At 37.1% G+C, this 22,673-nt stretch overlaps 2 long non-coding RNA genes and 1 pseudogene across 3 annotated transcripts in view; 2 read left to right on the top strand and 1 right to left on the bottom strand.

The window, feature by feature from the left end:
* Positions 1-3,324, top strand: part of LOC105375005 (uncharacterized) — a 50,372-nt gene extending 47,048 nt beyond the window's left edge. Inside the window, exon 3 of the long non-coding RNA XR_926670.1 lies at positions 2,436-3,324. This is a non-coding gene — a long non-coding RNA (uncharacterized LOC105375005). The remainder of the gene's footprint in view (positions 1-2,435) is intronic.
* The window catches only part of LINC03003 (long intergenic non-protein coding RNA 3003), a 66,468-nt gene that overhangs the window by 3,045 nt on the left and 40,750 nt on the right, over positions 1-22,673 (bottom strand). The window contains exon 3 of one of the 2 annotated variants that reach the window (NR_134629.1): positions 20,311-20,465. The exons of the other annotated variant lie outside the window; for it this stretch is intronic. This is a non-coding gene — a long non-coding RNA (long intergenic non-protein coding RNA 3003). Of the gene's footprint in view, positions 1-20,310; positions 20,466-22,673 lie in introns of those variants that run through there. 2 annotated transcript variants of the gene reach the window in all.
* Positions 17,975-18,931, top strand: OR2U2P (olfactory receptor family 2 subfamily U member 2 pseudogene; annotated as a pseudogene).

The following is a 22,673-nucleotide window of genomic DNA, read 5'->3' as shown; positions in this document are numbered from 1 at the left end:
AATATGATTACGGCCGGGCGGGGTGGCTCACGCCTGCAATCCCAGCACTTTGGGAGGCCGAGGCGGGCGGATCATGAGGTCAGGAGATCGAGACCATCCTGGCGAACAAGGTGAAACCCCGTCTCTACTCAAAATAAAAAAAAAAATTAGCCGGGTGTGGTGGCAGCCACCTGTAGTCCCAGCTACTCGGGAGGCTGAGGCAGCAGAATGGCGTGAACCCGGAGGGGGCGGAGCTTGCCATGAGCCGAGATCGCACCACTGCACTCCAGCCTGGGAGACAGTGAGACTCCGTCTCAAAAAAAAAAAATAATATATATATATATATAATATATATATATATATATATATGATTACATTTTGTATTGTATCCCCAAAGAAATGGAACACATATCTCTGCCAGTTGATTAGAAGATTATTATATGAATATATTTTGATTCAATACTGAGAAACAATTTTATCTTTACATATATATTTCTGAATCAAATTTTGCCTTATCTATTATGGTCAAAGGAAGACTTCTTCTGTGTTGTAGGATTTCTTATAGAAGAATACTTCTTAATCAGTATTCAAGTAATTCCTTGTCCAATTAAAATCCTAAAAAGACAATTTTGGAATGCTACCTTCATTCTGTCTGGATTGTTTTCTTGCTAGAGTCTCTTTCAGAATCTCATTTAGTTAGAACTCAGATAATGTTCTAAATCTGAAGAAAGCTGTGTTTCTTTTCCTACATTTCAAAATTAGTAATAACATTTTCACAATCTTTATATTTTTCTACTGCTTCTCTTCCAGTAGGCACAGCTATTTGTTTCTATTAAGTTCTATTAAGTACTATTAAGTTTCTGGGGTAAGTTTGGAAAGTTATGAATAAAATTAATTATATACTTTACCCGAGGAAAACAGTAAAGTTATTAAAGAAGTATATGTAGCCTGTTCCCCTGGTTTTCCATATACTTCATTTGTGCTTAAATATTGAAAATTTATAGGAAATAGAGGTAAAATGAGTAACAAGGAAATAATAGCAGCAGATAAACTCAGAAAGTAAAGAGAGAAGAAAAATGGAAAGAAAAAAATAAGACAGAAAAAAGAAGTACATAAAGATGGTAAATTTTTGTCTGATACATAGTAATAGTCACATAAGTAGCTGTCAAATATATGAATATAAAAAGAAATGGAAGAAAAATAGAAAATAAAAATGAAAGATCTAAGACTAAATTCAGTAATTCAGTTTAAATGTCTAGAAAGGATGCAGGGAGTTCTTGCCTTTCTGACTGTATAAGAATAATACGGAATTCGCCTAAATCAAAAGTTAAAAACAGGCTGATAATCCCCTTGAGGGTGAAAAACTGGAGCTGGGAGACAGAAGAATCTATAGATCTCTGGCAAATGGAGTGCACAAAAAAACGAAGGGTGAGCAGAGTAGAAGTATCTGACCACATGGTTTAAGAACACATGAAGCCCATTATTTTAAACGTTTACATCCTAATACACTCTTCATTAACTTTCTAAGCATGGCTCTAATATAATATGTTAATAAACAAAACTGAAACAATATTTAGATTTTCATTCTACCTGACTTATTTTATATACTTCCTCTTCATGTTACTTTGTAAGAACTTTTGCTATAGTTTTAATTCCATGCTATCAGATTCCCTTGTTCTAAATTGTCATAGATTTAAACAACTTTTTGTTGTTGTTTGTTTTTGTTTTTGTTTCTGTTCTGCCACCCAGGCTGGAGTGCAGTGATGTGATCTCAGCTCACTGCAACCTCCGCTTCCCAGGTTCACACGATTCTCCTGTCTCAGCCTCCAGAGCAGCTGGAATTACAGGTGTGCACCACCACACCCAGCTAATGGATTTAAACAACCTTTGATTATCTGAGTGGTAGGCCTTTCAGAGCTAAATTTTCTCAAAAATCAACATCTTAATAGCTACAATCTTTGTAATGGAAATAGCAGTTTCAGTCTAGAAAAGTGGTTAAAAAAAGGTACACCTAAAAATACTTAAATGAAAATATAAAGTTTCAAAGGTAAATAACATGATTGGTAACACATATTTTTCCATCAGTCTCCTAATAATAGAATAGTGTTTAACAAAGATTGGCAAACACCAGATAGTTCATATCAAATTTTCTATCCATAAACTTAAATTTTAAGTATATAATTGCTTTCATACAAGTATGTTTGTTTTCTTCTTATAATATGCCTCTAAAGAACGATTTTTTTATATAACAGAAGAGAGGAAACGCAGGCACCAAGAGGTTGTAGGACTTGCTCAAGTTTATAGATCTAGTAAATTCAGAAGAAAAGATTTGAATAATACAATATTTTGAATCCTACATCAGTATACTTTTCATAAGCTTATTGTTCTCTCAAACAAAAATGTATGTGGCTTGTAGAATAAACCTTTTTACATTTTAAAAAATTTTTATTTTATAGTTCTACTCCTGAGTGCTCCCTTCAGCCTACTCCACGAAGTGATGACAACTTTAATTAATATTCCCTCTCCAAATCCCTTCAACATTTACCTGATGCTGGGTTGTAATCCATCAGTTTGTCTGGAATGTGACATGGAGATACGGAGTCCTGGAAGACTGACCTGGGGCCCAAACATGATCCTCAAACCAGTTTGTTGTTTGAATTTCTTCTCAGCCCTCTTTAACATCAACCCAGCTCTCTCTGACCTACTGAAGGGTCAACCTCAAGAAACCAACTCCAACTGATGGCCATCCATAGAATACATAGCTCTTCAGGGAGCTTTCATGCCATTACTGCCTCACTCTCATACTTCCGTTTAAGCCTCCGAGATTCAAAATAATTAGCCTCTACTGCTGCCAACATGTCCAGGGAAAAATAACCAGAGGGACTAGAAAATGAGTATGCCACAGAAGAAATCAAGAAAATGTTTCTAACAAAATACAAACTTTGGGCATGTAAGTTTGGAGAGTCATCTAAGAAGAAAGAAAATTAATTCAAGCAAGACTAAATCTCATGGTTGCCAAGATGATTTTTTTCATTATACTTTAAGTTCTGGGATACATGTGCAGAACATGCAGGTTTGTTACATAGGTACACACATGCCATGGTGGTTTGCTGCACCCATCAACCCGTCATCTACATTAGGTGTTTCTCCTAATGCACCCCACCCTCTAACAGGCCCCAATGTATGATGTTCCCCTCACTGTGTCCATGTGTTCTCATTGTTCAACTCCCATTTATGAGTGAGAATAAGGAGTGTTTGGTTTGCTGTTCCTGTGTTAGTTAATGAGACTCATGGCTTCCAGCATAATCCATGTCCCTGCAAAGAACATAAACTCATTCTTTTTTATGGCAGCATAGTATCCCATGGTGTATATGTGCCACATTTTCCTTATCCAGTCTATCACTGATGGGCATTTGGGTTCCAAGTCTTTGCTATTGTAAATAGTGCTGCAATAAACATATATGTGCGTGTGTCTTTATAGTGGAATGTTTTATAATCCTTTGGGTATATATCCAGTAATGGGATTTCTAGGTCAAATGGTATTTCTGGTTCTAGATCCTTCAGAAATCACCACACTGTCTTCCACAATGGTTGAACTAATTTACATACCCACCAACAGTGTAAAAGCATTCCTATTTCTCCACATCCTCTCCAGCCTCTCTTGTTTCCTGACTTTTTAATGATCACCATTCTAACTGGCATGAGATGGTATCTCATTGTAGTTTTGATTTGCATTTCTCTAATGACCAATGATGATGAGCTTCATTTCATATGTTTGTTGACCACATAAATGCCTTCATGCCTTCTTTTGAGAGGTGTCTGTTCATATTCTTCACCCACTTTTTGATGGGGTTGTTTTTTTTCTTGTAAATTTGTTTAAGTTATTTGTAGATTCTGGATATTAGTCCTTTGTCAGATGGATAGATTGCAAAAATTTTCTTCCATTCCGTAGGTTAACTGTTCACTCTGATGATAGTTTCTTTTGTTGTGCAGAAGCTCTTTAGTTTAATTAGATCCTATTTGTCTATTTTGGCTTTTGTTGCCATTGCTTTTGGTGTTTTAGTCATGATGTCTTTGACCATGCCTATGTCATGAATGGTATTGTCTATGTTATCTTCTAGAGTTTTTATGATATTGGGTCTTACATTTAAATCTTAATCCATCTTGAGTTAATTTTTTTATAAGGTGTAAGGAAGGGGTCCAGTTTCCGTTTTCTGCATATGGCTAGCCAGTTTTCCCAAAACCATTTATTAAATATGAAATCCCTTCCCCATTGCTTGTTTTTGTCAGGTTTGTCAAAGATCTGATGGTTGTAGATGTGTGGCATTATTTCTGAGGCCTCTGTTCTGTTCTATTGGTCTATATATCTGTTTTGGTATCAGTACCATGCTGTTTTGGTTACTGTATCCTTGTAGTATAGTTTGAAGTCAGGTAACATGATGCCTCCAGCTTTGTTATTTTTGCTTATGATTGTCTTGGCTATACGGGCTCTTTTTTGGTTTCATATGAAATTTAAAGTAGTTTTTTTCTAATTCTGTGAAGAAAGTCAATAGTAACTTGATGGGGATAGCATTGAATCTCTAAATTACTTCAGGCAGTATGTCCATTTTCACGATATTGATTATTCCCATCCATGAGCATGGAATGTTTTTTCATTTGTTTGTGTCCTCTCTTATTTCCTTGAGCCGTGGTTTGGAGTTCTCCTTGAAGAGGTCCTTCACATTCCTTGTAAGTTGTATTCCTAGGTATTTTATTCTCTTTGTAACAATTGTGAATGGGAGTTTACTCATGATTTGGCTGTTTGTCTATTATTGGTGTATAGGAATGCTTGTGATTTTTGCAAATTGATTTTGTATCCTAAGACTTTGCTGAAGTTGCTTTTCAGCTTAAGGAGATTTAGGTCTGAGACGATGGGGTTTTCTAAATATACAATCATGTCATCTGCAAACAGAGACAATTTGACTTCCTGCCTTCCTATTTGAATACACTTTATTTCTTTCTCTTGCCTGATTGCCCTGACCAGAACTTCCAATACTATGTTGAATAGGAGTGGTGAGAGAGGGCATTCTTGTCTTGTGCTGGTTTTCAAAGAGACTGCTTCCAGCTTTTGCCCATTCAGTATGATATTAGCTTTGGGTTTGTCATAAATAGCTCTTATTATTTTGAGACACGTTCCGTCAATACCTAGTTTATTGAGAGTTTTTAGCATGAAGAGGTGTTGAATTTTATTGAAGGCCTTTAAAATAAACAACCTGACATCACAATTAAAAGAACTAGAGAAGAAAGATCAAACAAATTCAAAAGCTAGCAGAAGACAAGAAATAACAGATCAGAGCAGAGATGAAGGAGATAGAGACACAAGAAACCGTTCAAAAAATCAATGAATCCAGGAGCTGGTTTTTTGAAAAGCTTAACAAAATAGACCACTAACTGGACTAATAAAGAAGAAAACAGAGAAGAATCAAATAGACACGACAAAAAATGATAAGGGGGATATCACCACTGATCTTACAGAAATACAAACTACCATCAGAGGATACTATAAATAACTCTATGCAAATAAACTAGAAAATTTAGAAGAAATGGATAAATTCCTGGACACATACATCCTCCCAAGACTAAACCAGGAAGAAATCTAATCCCTGAATAGACCAATAACAAGTTCTGAAATTCAGGCAGTAATTAATAGCCTACCAACCAAAAAAGAAGCCCAGGATCAGACAGATTCACAGCCGAATTCTACCAGAGGTACAAAGAGGAGCTGGTACTATTCCTTCTGAAACTATTCCAAACAATAGAAAAAGTCGGAATCTTCCCTAACTCATTTTGTGAGGCCAGCATCATCCTGATACCAAAACCTGGCAGAGACACAACAAAAAAAGAAAATTTCAGGCCAATATCCCTGATGACATCGATGTGAAAATCCTCAATAAAATACTGGCAAACCGAATCCAGCAGCACATCAAAAAGCTTATCCACCATAATCAAATCGACTTCATCCCTGGGATGAAAGGCTGGTTCAACATACACAAATCAATAAACGTAATCCGTCACTTAAACAGAGCCAATGTCAAGGTGATTTTTTAAATATGGATTATGAAATAGGTAAATTTTTCCTTCACATGTACTTATTATTCTGATAAAGATATGACAACTTCATGCACTCGTTAAAATAATGTAAGTTTAAAATATGATTTTTTTTTCCTATTTCTTCCTATAGTGTTTCCTCATTCTCACTTAATGTATTGTATAAGATACTTCACAAACATAAGACATATTGATTCATTGGATAACATTGTCACTATATAAATTAGGAAAATACATTTTCATTATTCATATTTAGCTGATGACAATTCCAAAACTGAGAAAATCAAAGTTTCTCAAGATTACAGACAGGTAGACTAGGAACACAAACCAATGCTTCCAAATTTGATCTAGTTTTTCCTCCTCCAAGTTATTGAGCATAACTAATCTAGGCCCCTCAGAGTGAAGGTTGAAATTGTAATTCAACATATATTCTGGCCCACTATCTCCATTATATTAGCCTTTTTTTTCTGTTACAATCTTTCTGGAATAGTAGGAAAAATAATAGACATGAAAATGCTAAGACTGTGTATAAATACTTAATCGTCTTCTTGGACAGATAAGCTTAAATACCAGACTTTGCATTTCTTTATTTTAAAAAGTATACTTATCAAAACCACTAAATTAACTTGCTCTCAAATAAATAATACGAAGCAAGGTTTTTGAAAGCATTTCATATCAGGCTTCAGAAATGAACCCAAATGTGTATGGAGATTTACTTTATCATGAAGGAGTAATTTCATATCATTACGTAAAGGCAGAACGTTTCAATGGAGTGTGTGTGTGCTAACTGATTTAAAATCAGGAAAAAAATAAATAAATTCCTATCTTTAATTTCAAAACAATAAAAATTTAAATGTAGAAATATTAGGCAAAAGACCTAAGATCACTTAAAGGCCTTAAATTATTGATGTATTTGATACATAAAAGTATTCACTTGACACAAATTTGCACATATTCATTCAGAAGTGGGTGTACAAAGACCTTTGTTGCAGTGTTGTTTGCATTAGCAAAAAGCTACACATCTCATAAATGACTACCAGTCCTGAAGTTGTTAAACACATCTTCATAATGTAATATTTTGCATTTATTAAAAATAGCGAGGCAAGTCTGTAGTTAGAGAATTGATATATTTAAGGAGAAAAAAGTTACAAGATGGTATTTATAAGATGACACAGGATGTTATCTCTCTACTAACCTATCAATATGCATATATAAATAAATGTATCTATTAAAACACATGAACACATACACAACTACCCCACATACACTAATATGTGTAAAGAATATCTTCAGAAAAGTGAAAAATGGCAAATAGTGAGATGGAGTAAGGAGTGGAAGAGGGATGTGTTTGCACCATAAATATCTTTATTGGGTATATTTCTTGTCATATTTTTTACATTTTTTGAATTTGTAACAATAATGAGCACAAAACAACAGCATTATGATGACCTTCCTGGGAAGTTTCCTGAGGAGGGCATGTAGAGCATAATTCCATTATGAAAAAAATGTGCTTAGAGTATGAAATGAAATAAACCAACATCTTACCTAATCAGATTATCTTCAATATTCATCTCTTTATTTTTAAAATTTTATGGTTTTATTTTTTTTATTGATATAAATGGTTTCTTTATTTGTAGAATTACACTTAAAATTATTTTGAAGCAGCATGAACTCTCTCTGGATGGTATTAGAATTTCATACCCAAATAAACTTGAACATTACTTTTTTAAAATTTTATTATTATTATACTTTAAGTTTTAGAGTACATGTGCACAACGTGCAGGTTTGTTACATATGTCTACATGTGCCATGTTGGTGTGCTGCACCCATTAACTAATCATTTAGCAATAGGTATATCTCCTAATGCTATCCCTGCCCCCTCACCACACCCCACAACAGTCCCCCGTGTGTGATGTTCCCCTTCCTGTCACCACGTGTTCTCATTGTTCAATTCCCACCTATGAGTGAGAACATGCGGTGTTTGGTTTTTTGTCCTTGTGATAGTTTGCTGAGAATGATGGTTTCCAGCTTCATCCATGACTCTACAAAGGACATGAACTCATCATTTTTTATGGCTGCATAGTATTCCATGGTGTATATGTGCCACATTTTCTTAATCCAGCCTATCATTGTTGGACATTTGGGTTGGTTCCAAGTCTTTGCTATTGTGAATAGTGCCGCAATAAACATATGTGTGTGTGTGTCTTTCTAGCAGCATGATTTATAATCCTTTGGGTATATACCCAGCAATGGGATGGCTGGGTCAAATGGTATTTCTAGTTCTAGATCCCTGAGGAATCGCCACACTGACTTCCACAATGGTTAAATTAGTTTACAGTCCCACCAACAGTGTAAAAGTGTTCCTATTTCTCCACATCCTGTCCAGCACCTGTTGTTTCCTGACTTTTTAATGATCACCATTCTAACTGGTGTGAGATGGTATCTCATTGTGGTTTTGATTTGCATTTCTCTGATGGCCAGTGATGATGAGCATTTTTTCATGTGTTTTTTGGCTGCATAAATGTCTTCTTTTGAAAAATGTCTGTTCATATCCTTCACCCACTTTTTGATGGGGTTGTTTGTTTTTTTCTTGTAAATTTGTTGGAGTTCACTGTAGATTCTGGATATTAGCCCTTTGTCAGATGGGTAGGTTGCAAAAATTTTCTCCCATTCTGTAGGTTGCCTATTCACTCTGATGGTAGTTTCTTTTGTTGTGCAGAAGTTCTTTAGTTTAATTAGATCCCATTTGTCAATTTTGGCTTTTGTTGCCATTGCTTTTGGTGTTTTAGACATGAAGTCCTTGCCCATGCCTATGTCCTGAATGGTATTGCCTAGGTTTTATTCTAGGGTTTTTCTGGTTTTAGGTCTAACATTGAAGTCTTTAATCCATCTTGAATTAATTTTTGTATAAGGTGTAAGGAGGGGATCCAGTTTCAGCTTTCTACATATGGCTAGCCAGTTTTCCCAGCACCATTTATTAAATAGAGAATCCTTTCCCCATTGCTTGTTTTTGTCAGGTTTTTCAAAGATCAGATACTGGTAGATATGTGGCATTATTTCTGAGGGCTCTGTTCTGTTCCACTGTTCTATATCTCTGTTTTGGTACCAGTACCATGCTGTTTTGGTTACTGTAGCCTTGTAGTATAGTTTGCAGTCAGGTAGCATGATGCCTCCAGCTTTGTTCATTTGGCTTAGGATTGACTTGGAAATGCAGGCTCTTTTTTGGTTCCATATGAACTTTAAAGTAGTTTTTTCCAACTCTGTGAAGAAAGTCATTGGTAGCTTGATGGGCAAGGCATTGAATCTATAAATTACCTTGGGCAGTATGGCCATTTTCACGATATTGATTCTTCCTACACATGAGCAGGTAATGTTCTTCCATTTGTTTGTATCCTCTATTATTTCATTGAGCAGTGGTTTGTAGTTCTCCTTGAAGAGGTCCTTCACATCCCTTGTAAGTTGGATTCCTAGGTATTTGATTCTCTTTGAAGCAATTGTGAATGGGAGTTCACTCATGATTTGGCTCTCTGTTTGTCTGTTATTGGTGTATAGGAATGCTTGTGATTTTTGCACACTGATTTTGTATCCTGAGACTTTGCTGAAGTTCCTTATCAGCTTAAGGAGATTTTGGGCTGAGACGATGGGGTTTTCTAGATATACAATCATGTCATCTGCAAACAGGGACAATTTGACTTCCTCTTTTCCTAATTGAATGCCCTTTATTTCCTTCTCCTGCCTGATTGCCCTGGCCAGAACTTCCAACTCTATGTTGAATAGGAATGGTGAGAGAGGGCATCCCTGTCTTTTGCCAGTTTTCAAAGGGAATGCTTCCAGTTTTGTCCATTCAGTATAATATTGGCTGTGGGTTTGTCATAGATAGCTCTTATTATTTTAAGATATGTCCCATCAATACCTAATTTATTGAGAGTTTTTAGCATGAAGTGTTGTTGAATTTTGTCAAAGGCCTTTTCTGCATCTATTGAGATAATCATGTGGTTTTTGTCTTTGGTTCTGTTTATATGCTGGATTACATTTATTGATTTTCATATGTTGAACCAGTCTTGCATCCCAGGGATGAAGGCCACTTGATCATGGTGGATAAGCTTTTTGATGTGCTGCTGGATTCAGTTTGCCAGTATTTTATTGAGGATTTTTGCATCAATGTTCATCAAGGATATTGGTCTAAAATTCTCTTTTTTGGTTGTGTCTCTGCCAGGCTTTGGTATCAGGATGATGCTGGCCTCATAAAATGAGTTAGGGAGGATTCCCTCTTTTTCTATTGATTGGAATAGTTTCAGAAGGAATGGTAGCAGCTCCTCTTTGTACTTCTGGTAGAATTCGGCTGTGAATCCATCTGGTCCTGGACTTTTTTTGGTTGGTAAGCTGCTAATTATTGCCTCAATTTCAGAGCCTGTTATTGGTCTATTCAGAGATTCAACTTCTTCCTGGTTTAGTCTTGGGAGGGTGTATGTGTCGAGGAATTTATCCATTTCTTCTAGATTTTCTAGTTTATTTGTGTAGAGGTGTTTATAGTATTCTCTGATGGTAGTTTGTATTTCTGTGGGATTGGTGGTGATATCCCCTTTATCATTTTTTATTGCGTCTATTTGATTCTTCTCTCTTTTCTTCTTTATTAGTCTTGCTAGTGGTCTATGAATTTTGTTGATCTTTTCAAAAAACCAGCTTCTGGATTCATTGATTTTTTGAAGGGTTTTTTGTGTCTCTATTTCCTTCAGTTCTGCTCTGATCTTAGTTATTTCTTACCTTCTGCTAGCTTTTGAATGTGTTTGCTCTTGATTCTCTAGATGTTTTAATTGTGATGTTCTGGTGTCAGTTTTAGATCTTTCCTGCTTTCTCTTGTGGGCATTTAGTGCTATAAATTTCCCTCTACACACTGCTTTAAATGTGTCCCAGAGATTCTGGTATGTTGTGTCTTTGTTCTTGTTGGTTTCAAAGAATATCTTTATTTCTGCCTTCGTTTCATTATGTACCCAGTAGTCATTCAGGAGCAGGTTGTTCAGTTTCCATGTAGTTGAGTGGTTTTGAGTGAGTTTCTTAATCCTGAGTTGTAGTTTGATGGCACTGTGGTCTGAGAGACAGTTTGTTATAATTTCTGTTCTTTCACATTTGCTGAGGAGAGCTTTATTTCCAGCTATGTGGTCAATTTTGGAATAGGTGTGGTGTGGTGCTAAAAAGAATGTATATTCTGTTGATTTGGGGTGGGGAGTTCTGTAGATGTCTATTAGGTCCGCTTGGTGCAGAGCTGAGTTCAATTCCCAGGTATCCTTGTTAACTTTCTGTCTCGTTGATCTGTCTAATGTTGACAGTGGGGTGTTAAAGTCTCCCATTATCATTGTGTGGGAGTCTAAGTCTCTTTGTAGGTCTCTAAGGACTTGCTTTATGAATCTGGGTGCTCCTGTATTGGGTGCATATATATTTAGGATAGTTAGCTCTTCTCGTTGAATTGATCCCTTTACCATTATGTAATGGCCTTCTTTGTCTCTTTTGATCTTTGTTGGTTTAAAGTCTGGTTTTTCAGAGACTAGGATTGCAACCCCTGCCTTTTTTTGTCTTTCATTTGCTTGGTAGATCTTCCTCCATCGCTTTATTTTGAGCCTATGTGTGTCTCTGCATGTGAGATGGGTTTCCTGAATACAGCATACTGACGGGTCTTGACTCTTTATCCAATTTGCCAGTCTGTGTCTTTTAATTGGCGCATTTAGCCCATTTACATTTAAGGTTAATATTGTTATGTGTGAATTTGATCCTGTCATTATGATGTTAGCTGGTTATTTTGCTTGTTAGTTGATGCAGTTTCTTCCTAGCCTTGAAGGTCTTTACAATTTGGCATGTTTTTTCAGTGGCTGGTACAGGTTGTTCCTTTCCATGTTTAGTGCTTCCTACAGGAGCTCTTTTAGGGCAGGCCTGGTGGTGACAAAATCTCTCAGCATTTGCTTGTCTGTAAAGGATTTTATTTCTCTTTCACTTATGAAGCTTAGCTTGGCTGGATATGAAATTCTGGGTTGAAAATTCTTTACTTTAAGAATGTTGAATATTGGCCCCCACTCTCTTCTGGCTTGTAGAGTTTCTGCCGAGAGATCCACTGTTAGTCTGATGGGCTTCCCTTTGTGGGTAACCTGACCTTTCTCTCTGGCTGCCCTTAACATTTTTTCCTTCATTTCAACTTTGGTGAATCTGACAATCATGTGTCTTGGAGTTGCTCTCCTCGAGGAGTATCTTTGTGGCATTCTCTGTATTTCCTGAATTTGAATGTTGGCCTGCCTTGCTAGATTGGGGAAGTTCTCCTGGATAATACCCTGCAGAGTGTTTTCCAACTTGGTTCCATTATCCCCGTCATTTTCAGGTGCACCAATCAGACATAGATTTGGTCTTTTCACATAGTCCCATATTTCTTGGATGCTTTGTTCGTTTCTTCTTATTCTTTTTTCTCTAAACTTCTCTTCTCGCTTCATTTCATTCATTTCGTCTTCCATAACTGATACCCTTTCTTCCAGTTGATTGCATCGGCTACTGAGGCTTGTGCATTCATCACGTAGTTCTCGTGCCATGGTTTTCAGCTCCATCAGGTCCTTTAAGGACTTCTCTGCATTGGTTATTCTGTTTATCCATTCATCTGATTTTTTTTTTCAAGGTTTTTAACTTCTTTGCCATTGGTTCAAACTTCCTCCTTTTGCTAGGAGTAGTTTGATCCTCTGAAGACTTCTTCTCTAAACTTGTCAAAGTCATTCTCCCTCCAGCTTTGTTCCGTTGCTGGTGAGGAGCCGCATTCCTTTGGAGGACGAGAGGCGCTCTGATTTTTAGAGTTTCCAATTTTTCTGCTCTGTTTTTTCCCCATCTTTGTGGTTTTATCTACCTTTGGTCTTTGATGATGGTGACGTACAGATGGGTTTTTGGTGTGGATGTCCTTGCTGTTTGTTAGTTTTCCTTCTAACAGTCAGGACCCTCAGCTGCAGGTCTGTTGGAGTTTGCTGGAGGTCCACTCCAGACCCTGTTTTCCTGGGTATCAGCAGCAGTGGTTGCAGAACAGCAGATATTGGTGAACCGCAAATGCTGCTGCCTGATTGTTCCTCTGGAAGTTTTGTCTCAGAGGAGTACCTGGCCGTGTGAGGTGTCAGTCCGCCCCTACTGGGGGATGCCTCCCAGTTAGGCTACTTGGGGGTCAGGGACCCACTTGAGGAGGCAGTCTGCCCGTTCTCAGTTCTCAAGCTGCGTGCTGGGAGAACCACTACTCTCTTCAAAGCTGTCAGACAGGGACATTTAAGTCTGCAGAGGTTACTGCTGCCTTTTGTTTGTCTGTGCCCTGCTCCCAGAGGTGGAGCCTACAGAGGCAGGCAGGCCTCCTTGAGCTGTGGTGGGCTCCACCCAGTTCGAGCTTCCTGGCCGCTTTGTTTACCTACTCAAGCCTTGGCAATGGTGGGTGCCCTCCCCCAGCCTTGTTGCTGCCTTGTAGTTTGATCTCAGACTGCTGTGCTAGCAATGAGCAAGGCTCCTTGGGCGTAGGACCCTCCGAGCCAGGTGCTGGATATAATCTCCTGATGTGCTGTTTGTTGAGCCCATTGGAAAAGCACAGTATTAGGTTGGGAGTGACCCAATTTTCCAGGTGCTGTCTGTCACCCCTTTCTTTGACTAGGAAAGGGAATTCCCTGACCCCTTGTGATTCCCAGGTGAGGCGATGCCTCGCCCTGCTTCGGCTCACACATGGTGCACTGCACCCACTGTCTTGCACCCACTATCCGGCACTCCCCAGTGAGATGAACCCAGTACCTCAGTTGGAAATGCAGAAATCACCTGTCTTCTGTGTTGCTCACGCTGGGAGCTGTAGACTGGAGCTGTTCCTATTCGGCCATTTTGGCTCCACCCTGGTTAGTTGAGTTTTTAAATCAACCCAATGAAGAAATGGTCTTAGCTTCTCCCAGCTGTTTGAGCCAGCACATAAAATTAGAATATCTTTTAAGGGCTCTCATGTTGATAAATTTGGCTTAATCCACATTTGGTTCAGTCAAATGTTTTCTCTCTTCATGACAATCCATTCCAATATAATCCCCAAGATTTTTGTAGCTTAAAATGGCAAATTTTATCATTATTTTCTGTCTCCTGACACACTGTTAGTGTTAGTCTGATGGGCACACAACAAGTGTCATCTCTCAGCATGCTCCAGGGAGACAGAAACATCCTACCTAGTTGTGTTGTGATTAATCATGATAACTGATACCCTCTTTAAAGGTATTGCCTCAGATATCATTTCAAAAACTTCAGCCAAATCATGGTCATTTCACCAAACAAAAGAAATAGGGTGACCTGACATGAAAACAAAGATTTTTTTTTTATTTTGGGATTGATAGCACTGTAATTTACTTGAAACTATCTAGATATTCTCAACACTACAGGAGCAAACTTGGATGGGTATTTTGCCACAAGTGCAGCAGAAAAGCTAAGATAATTCACTCCAATGCACTACAAGCTTTCATAATGTGTGCTGAAGTGTCCTTCCAAAGTTTGGGAGTGCCCTCAAAGGGCAGAAAGCTAGGGACAGGACTGGGAAGCAAATAGAAGTCCCCACTGACCCAAAAGGCTGGCAGCCAGACTATAAAGCAAAGAGAAATCTCCCGTAGTCCAAAAGGCTGGTAGCCTCACTATAAAACATCAAGACTTATCTGGACTCTCACCAGAATTCAGGCCCACCCTTCCTTCAAAATAGTTGAAGACAGTGGTTAACTGAATTTAACCAAGTTTACAACAGGTTTAAGCTTAGCTACACATCAGACAGTCTGAGTTCCCCATACTCATACCCTGATAAATAAGGAATATGTCCTATCCTGAGGATAAATACTACTTACTATTTATTTCTGTCCCTACAAGTATTTTTTACAAATTGTTATGGACTGTTTGTGTCACTCCAAATTTATATGTTGAAGCACTTACCACAATGTGATGATATTTGGAGGTAGAGTCTTTGGGAAGTTAAATTAGGTTTAGATGCAGTCATGAGAGTGGGGCCCCCATGTCAGGGTTAGTGTTTTTATAAGAAAAGGAAGAAAGATCAGAGTTTTATCTACACAATGTGAGAATACAGTGAAAGGTCTGTCAGCAAGAGAGACTTCACCAAAAACTAAATTTTCTGGCACCTTAAATTTGGACATTCCAGCTTCCAGAATTATGAGAAATAAATGTCTGTTGTTTAAGCCACCCAAGCTATGGTATTTTGTTATAACATCCTGAGCTAAGACATATTTTTGTACCAGGAGTGGGATGTAGCTGAAAATGTAGAAGTGGCTTTAAAACTGGAAAAGGGGTAGAAGTTAAGGAATTTGGGGATGCATGCTATAAATATGCACAATAATAGCTATTCTGTTTAGGGCTTATACAGAATATAAGACTGCTGGAGAAAAACTTCCATTTTCTTATAGAATACATAAATAATTATAAACAGAATGTTGGCAGAAATATGTATGGTAAAGGTCATTCTGGGGAAGGCTTAGACAGAAATGAAGAATAAGCTATTGGACAATTGAGAAAAAGTGATTCTTTTTATAAAGTGGTAAAGAACTTGGCTGAATTATGTTCATGTTTTATTGTTTTGTGGAATGTAAAACTAGTAAGTGATGAAATTAACAGTGAACATAGCTGACATTTCTAATCAAAGTGTTGAAGGAGTCACTTTGTTCATCCTGACTGCTTCTACTAAGATGCAAGAAAAAAAAAAGAGATAAATGAATCAAAAAAGGAATTGTTAAAAAAAAAAAAGGAGCTGGAACTTAAAAAATTGGAAAGTTCTCAGCCTATCCACACTGCAAAAGATGAGAAAGCATGCTGAGAAAAAAAAAAAACCACCAAAGGTGTGGCTGGACCCTCACTCGATAAAGAGATTACGGGATTATATAAGCAGAAACACTGTCAGTCTGAACTGAAGGAGATGGGAATGGGATAAAATGAAGGAAGTCTGTCAGACTTCTTAGATTCTTTGGGACTGGACCATAGAGCTATTCAGATGTGAATGTGTGATATTACTCTTCAAGACAAGGGAAGAAAGACCCTAAAGGTGTTTTAGAGATTATCTGGGCTGCCACCTCAGATTTAAAGGTTGGGGCTATCATCTCAGTTTCAATGGGCAGTTGGTGTCAGAGTGGCTGCCAGAGCCTTTTGGGTACAATGAAGAGTCATGAGGACATGACCCCTTCCCTGCAGAGCTACAGAGGTCCGACTATCTACTATCCCAGTTTGTCCAGAAAGTGGGACTGTCATCCCAGTAGACCCAGAAGGCAAATTATGAAACCAAAGATTATCCTTGAGCTTTAAGATCTAATGGTATTTGCATTACAAGATTTTAGATTTGCTTGGAACCTGCCACCCCTTTCTTTCTTCCAGGTGTTGGAATGAGAATGCCTATTCTATGTCTAATCTATCATTGTATTTTGGAAGTGTGTAATTTATCTGGTTTCACAGACTTATAACTGGGGATGAATTTTTCCTCAGGATTAATCGTATCTTGAGCCTCACCTATATCTGATTTAGATGATATTTAGATGAGACAGGACTTCCAATTTTAGAGTTGATCTTGGAATAAGTTAAGACTTTGGGGGCTACTGAAATAAGATCAATTTTTTTGTGTGTGTAAGAATAACATTAATTTGGGAGACAAAAGGCAGAATGCTATGGATTCAATGTCTGTGTACCCCCAAAATTCATATGTTGAAGCCCTAACCCTCCATGTGATGGTATTTGGAGATGGGGCCTTTGGAAAGTAATTAGGTTTAAATCAGGTCATGAGGGTGGGCCTCCATAAGGGGATTAGTGACCTCATAAAAGGAAGAGGGACCATAAAAGGAAGAGCACACTCTTTCCCTACCACTTGAGGGAACAGCAAGTGAAAAGGCAGCCGTCTGCAAGTCAAGAAGTAGGGCCTCATCAGGAACTGCACCTCCTACTCCTTTATCTTAAACCTCCCAGCCTCCAGAACTTTGAGAAATAAGTGTCTGTTGTTTATTCCACCCAGCCTGTGGTATTTTGTTAGAGCAGCCCAAGCTGACCAAGACACACAATGCCTGGCATAAAATAAAAATTAAACACTATGAGGCACACTAACAAGCAAGAAAAATAGAAACAGTGCACGCCTGTAATTCCAGCTACTAGCGAGGCTGGGGCAGGAGAATCACTTGAACCTGGGAGGCAGAGGTTGCAGTGAGCAGAGATCACCCAGGCACTCCAGCCTGGGTAACAGAGTAAGACTCCGTCTCAAAAAAAAAAAAAAAAAAAAAAAAGAAAGAAAAAGAAAAAAGAAAAAGAAAGAAACAGGAGTCATTTGAAGCTAAAAAGAGGAAATATTCAAGTGAAGTATATCCAGACATGGTTCAGACATTAGAATCATCAGATAAGAATTTTTTAAATATGTTTTAACATTTCGCTGGTAAAGGCAGACAAGATTTATGAACAAAGGGGAGATCTCAACAAAGAGATTAGCATTGTACAGAAGAACCAAATGGAAATGTTGGATATAAAAAAAAACATACCAGAAATAATATAAGAAATAAATAATTAATTTGGTGGGCTTAACAATAGGCTGGACTCAGTAGAGGAAAGAATTCATGAACTGAAATACAAGTCAATTGAAATTATCCAAACTTCAACCCAAAGAGAAAAAAGAAAAAGCATCCAAGTTATGTAGGATAATATTATCTCCTCTGACACATGAGTACTTGGAGCTCCAGAATATAAGAAAAAGAAATAAACAGAAAAAAATCTTAAGAGATAATGGTTGAGAATTTTCCAAAATTAATGACACCACCATAAATCCGAGAAGTTCACCAAACCCAATGCAAAATAAATAAGAAAATCACACCGTTGCCCTTTACCAAAATGATGACATGGATTTCCCTTAAGAAAAAACAGAATGATCAATGATAGCCACTTCAGTGGTTTTATACTCCTTGGATTCACAGGGCAGCCTCAGCTTCAGATGATGATCTCTGGGGTTGTCTTTTTCTTCTACACTATTGCCTTCATGGGAAATATGGCCATCATCCTATTGTCTTTCCTAGATGACCATCTCCAAGTCCCCATGTACTTCTTCCTTAGAAATTTGGCCATCTTGGATCTCTGTTATACCACAAATATAGTCCCACAAATGTTGGTCAGTATCTGGGGCAAAGACAAAAGAATTACCTTTGGTGGGTGTGCCTTTCAACTTTTCATTGATGTGGCACTGTACTCAGTTGAATGCATCCTTCTGTCCATGATGTCATATGATCGACTCAATGCTATCTGCAAGCCTCTGCATCATATGACCATAATGAACCTCCAACTCTGCCAGGGCCTTGTGGTCATCTCCTGGGTAGTTGGTGTGATTAATTGCATCATACCTTCCCCCTATGCCACGAGTCTTCCTCGATGTAGGAACCACCACCTAGACCACTTTTTTGTGTGTGTGAAATGTCTGCAATGATCAAGATTCAAGATTGCATGTGTGGACACCACAGCCATGGAGGTAACCACATTTGCCATGTGCCTGATTATAGTTCTTGTTCCTCTTCTTCTTATTCTTGTGTCATATGGTTTCATTGCTGTGGCTGTACTCAAGATCAAGTCTGCAGCAGGAAGACAAAAAGCATTTGGGACCTGTTCCTCCCATCTCGTTGTGGTATCCATCTTCTGTGGGACAGTTACATACATGTATATACAGCCAGGAAACAGTCCAAATCAGAATGAGGGCAAACTTCTCAGTATATTTTACTCCATTGTTACTCCCAGCTTGAACCCATTAATTTATACGGTAAGGAATAAGGAGTTCAAGGGGGCCATGAAGAGGCTAACTGGAAAAGAAAAAGATTGCATGGAAAAAAGAGGACATTGATTCTTCCTCCCAGCAATTTCTAATATGGCAATTGATCTTCCCAATCTAAAATGTAGACAATTTATTTTGTAAATAAATTGTCTACACCTGAGATAAAGATAATATCCATTAAAAATATAATAAAATTATAATAAAAATTATAATTAAGCCGAATGTATTTATTGAATACTTAATCCATGATGATTGGTATATGTACAAAACTCATATTTAAAATGAAATTATAAACTAAAGTGCCAACACTAAAAATAACATGCTATGCACTGATTTCTTTTGGATTATATATGTTACAATTATATTGATATTGACCAATTTAACTCTAATAGTCTCCTTTGATTATGCTAACTAAATATTGTCATTAATTTAAGGAGATTAAAAGCTGTTTTCATTGCCCTCTATTTTAAGGTACAACACTTTTGCTCCAACCAGTCCCAGGAATATTTTTACACAGGCAAATCTCCAGCCTGAAGATGACAGCAGCAAAGCTAGTCGTTAACCAAGAAGACCAAGAGTTCTAGTTATCAATCATCTTTGAAAAGATCTCATGTTAATTAACCACAGTAATTTCCCCCTATCTTTCTCTGCTTAGATAATTACTCAAGGAGCTCAATTTTTGTGATCACAAAAGAAAAATATTTTTATCAGTTCCAATAATCATCTTTAAGATAATGCTTTTTTCTTTCCCACTTGGCCTTCCAAGTTTTTACTACTTATTTTGGGGATGAGCATGGAGGTATTGCCATGTCACCTGGTTTTAGATGTTCTACATTTTTTCTCTGAGTGCTTCAAGAAAACTGACACATAGAAAGGTGATTTATTTGGCTATTGAAATGGTCTTTCTGTCTTTTTCTGAAGTGTGTTTTTAAATGCATTTCTTTCTCATTTTTGTTGAGTTATTATCCTTTCCATATTTTGACTGAAGATAAATTTGATTTTTGTCTTGAAGATAAATGTTGATTCATGGGATAGTTCAGAGCTATGTTACCAACTTGTAACTTGAAAAAGAATTTTTGAAAACTTCCTTTATGTTTCTGATCCAATATCCAATATCACTTTTTCTTGCTCCATCTCTTGCTCATGTCCTAGTTATTTATACAGTCACATAATTCCATTCATGCCAAAAAGACTTTTTATTAAAAAAGCTAGAGTGATTAATTTTATTCCTTATACCCTCTTTCTCCCTTGAGAAAGTAGAAAACTTAAATAAAATGAAAAATCTAGAATATTTGATTTTGATATTTTTGTAGTTCTTGAGGATGAAAAATGAACTTAATAGGATTTTGAAGTCTAAATACTCCATTAGATAAGTTAAAGTAAAATTGTTTCAATAGCTGTTTTGAAGCATCATAAATTGAGATACTTGTAGGAACTACTTAAGCTCTGGAGTGACTTTTCTTTTTATTCCAGCTTCTCCGTTAATGACAGTACTTTCAGAAGTTGTCCTAAATCTCAGAGACACACCTAGCATTTTGCAGTATATATTTAGTACTTTTATGACTATTAAGAACGCCACATTTTCCAGGAATTCCAACATCTTTCAAAAAATAGAAGAGAGAGAAAACAGAGAAAAGGAAGTTACCAAAAGCAGACAGGAGAAATTTTCAGATCAAAAGAACATAAATGTACACCTTAAAGAATTATTGTACAATACACTGTGATGGAACACCCAAAAGCCCACCCAAGTCAAGTTTTAGAAAAATGTACTCAGAGGTGGCCAAAGTGCCGCTTCATGGTTATAATCCCTATCCTTCTCTCTCAACATTAATTATTATTCTTACATATATAGATTTCACACTTTTCCTTTCCTTTACAGATGTCTTACCTAACTATGCATCTCCAAATAATATGGTTTAATTTTTTTAATTTTTATATACATGGATTCTGTTGTACTTGAATTCTTTCAAATAACATTATATTTTTAAGATTCATCTATGCATTAAGCATTTCTGTACTTCACTTATTTCCACAGCTGTAAATACTTCATAATATACATATACAACTTATTTATTTATTCTGTCTTCATAAAAATTATAGTTTTTCACGTTTTCAAACCTCAGAAACAATTCTGCTTAGAATATTTTATGCATGTATTTTGGCTCATCTTGCATATGTATATATATCCTCATTGTATATTTGTACTCAGGTTTTTTGAAACACTGCCAAAATTTTCCAGAGTGGTTGCACCATATTAAACACTTATCAGTGTATGTGTTTCCATTGCTCTACATCTTCATCAATATTTGGTTTTCTTAGGTTTCTTTTTAATTTTAGTCAATCTGATGTGAGTGCATGATGGGTATAATTTTTGCTTTTATGATTATTGAAGCAAACGAGCACCATCCATTTCACAAATGCATTGGCCACTTATGTTTACCCTTTGAGATTTATCTATTCAGGTTTTTGCAATTTTTTACTATTTTTCTTATTGATATGAAGTATTTATATGTTCTGGATATGCCTTTTAACAAGCACAAGCACTAAAAATATCTCTTCCTTTTCTGTGATTTGTCTTTTGACTCCTAATGGTGTCACCTGATGAACAGAATTTTGTAGTTTCAATGATTGAAGTGTATTCATCATTTTTTACCTGTCAGTGATTTTTAAGACCAGTTACAGAAATAATTCCTCTTCCTAATAATACCTAATAATACCATAAAGTTATTATTTCATATTGATTTCTAAAACAGGAGTTGGGAAACTGTAGCCAGTGGGCCACTTGTGTCTGTTTTATAAAGTTTTATAGGAACACAGCCACACCCAGTTACTTACTTTTGTCTATGGCTGCTTTAGCACTACAACTACAGAGTTGAGTAGTTGTGACCGAGACCTGATGACACACAATGCCTAAAATATTTACTATCTGGCCTTTCCAAAAAAGTTTCCGTACCCTATTCTAGAAGATACTTTTTCCCTTTCACATCTAAATCTACAATCTATCTGGAATAGATGTTTATACACAGTATAAGTTGGGACAAATTTATTTTTTTAATTAATATCCCATTGGTCCAGCACCATATATTGAAAATTATAATTTTTCTCTATTCTTCTGTAGTGTTGTCTTTGTCATAAATAAATTTCCACAGATCTGTGGGTTTGTTTCAAGTCTTTTTTTTTCTATTTCAGTGTTTGATGTGGTTTGGCTGTGTCCCCACCCAAATCTCATCTTCAGTTGTAGCTCCCATAATTCCTGCATGGGAGCATGGGAGGGACCCAGTGAGAGGTAACTGAATCATGGGAATGGGTCTTTCCCATGCTGTTGTCGTGATAGTAAATAAGTCTCACAAGATCTGATGGTTTTATAAAGGGAATTTTCCCTGCACACTCTTCTTGCCTGATGCCATGTAAGATGTGACTTTGCTCCTCCTTCACCTTCTGCCATGATTGTGAGGCCTCCCCAGCCATGTGGAACTGTGAGTTTGCACCTCACTCATTGCTTCTCAAACCCTCACATTGTGTGCCAAAAAATATTGCAGGACTTTTCCTTAGTTCAGCTAAAAAGGGGGTTCTTTGTCCCATGGCCATGAAAATTCAGACTCACAACTTAAATGGTGAGTAAGACAGGATTTTATTGGGTGTAAAGGGGGAAACACGGGCTCTTGGAAGGCCAGAGTCCCTGCTACAGTGCTTCCCGACCAGGTGTTTGAATCCCAGGTTCCACACAGGAAAAGGAGGAGCCAGGCTCCTTCCTGTGGCAAACATCATGAACTTCTGGAGGCTCCACCTCAGTGGGCAGGCTGGTTGG

The sequence above is a fragment of the Homo sapiens genome, chromosome 6 (genome assembly GCF_000001405.40).
Source record: "Homo sapiens chromosome 6, GRCh38.p14 Primary Assembly".
NCBI lineage: Eukaryota > Metazoa > Chordata > Mammalia > Primates > Hominidae > Homo > Homo sapiens.
Note: the sequence above shows the minus strand (reverse complement) of the source record. Positions and strands in the feature narration are given on the sequence as shown.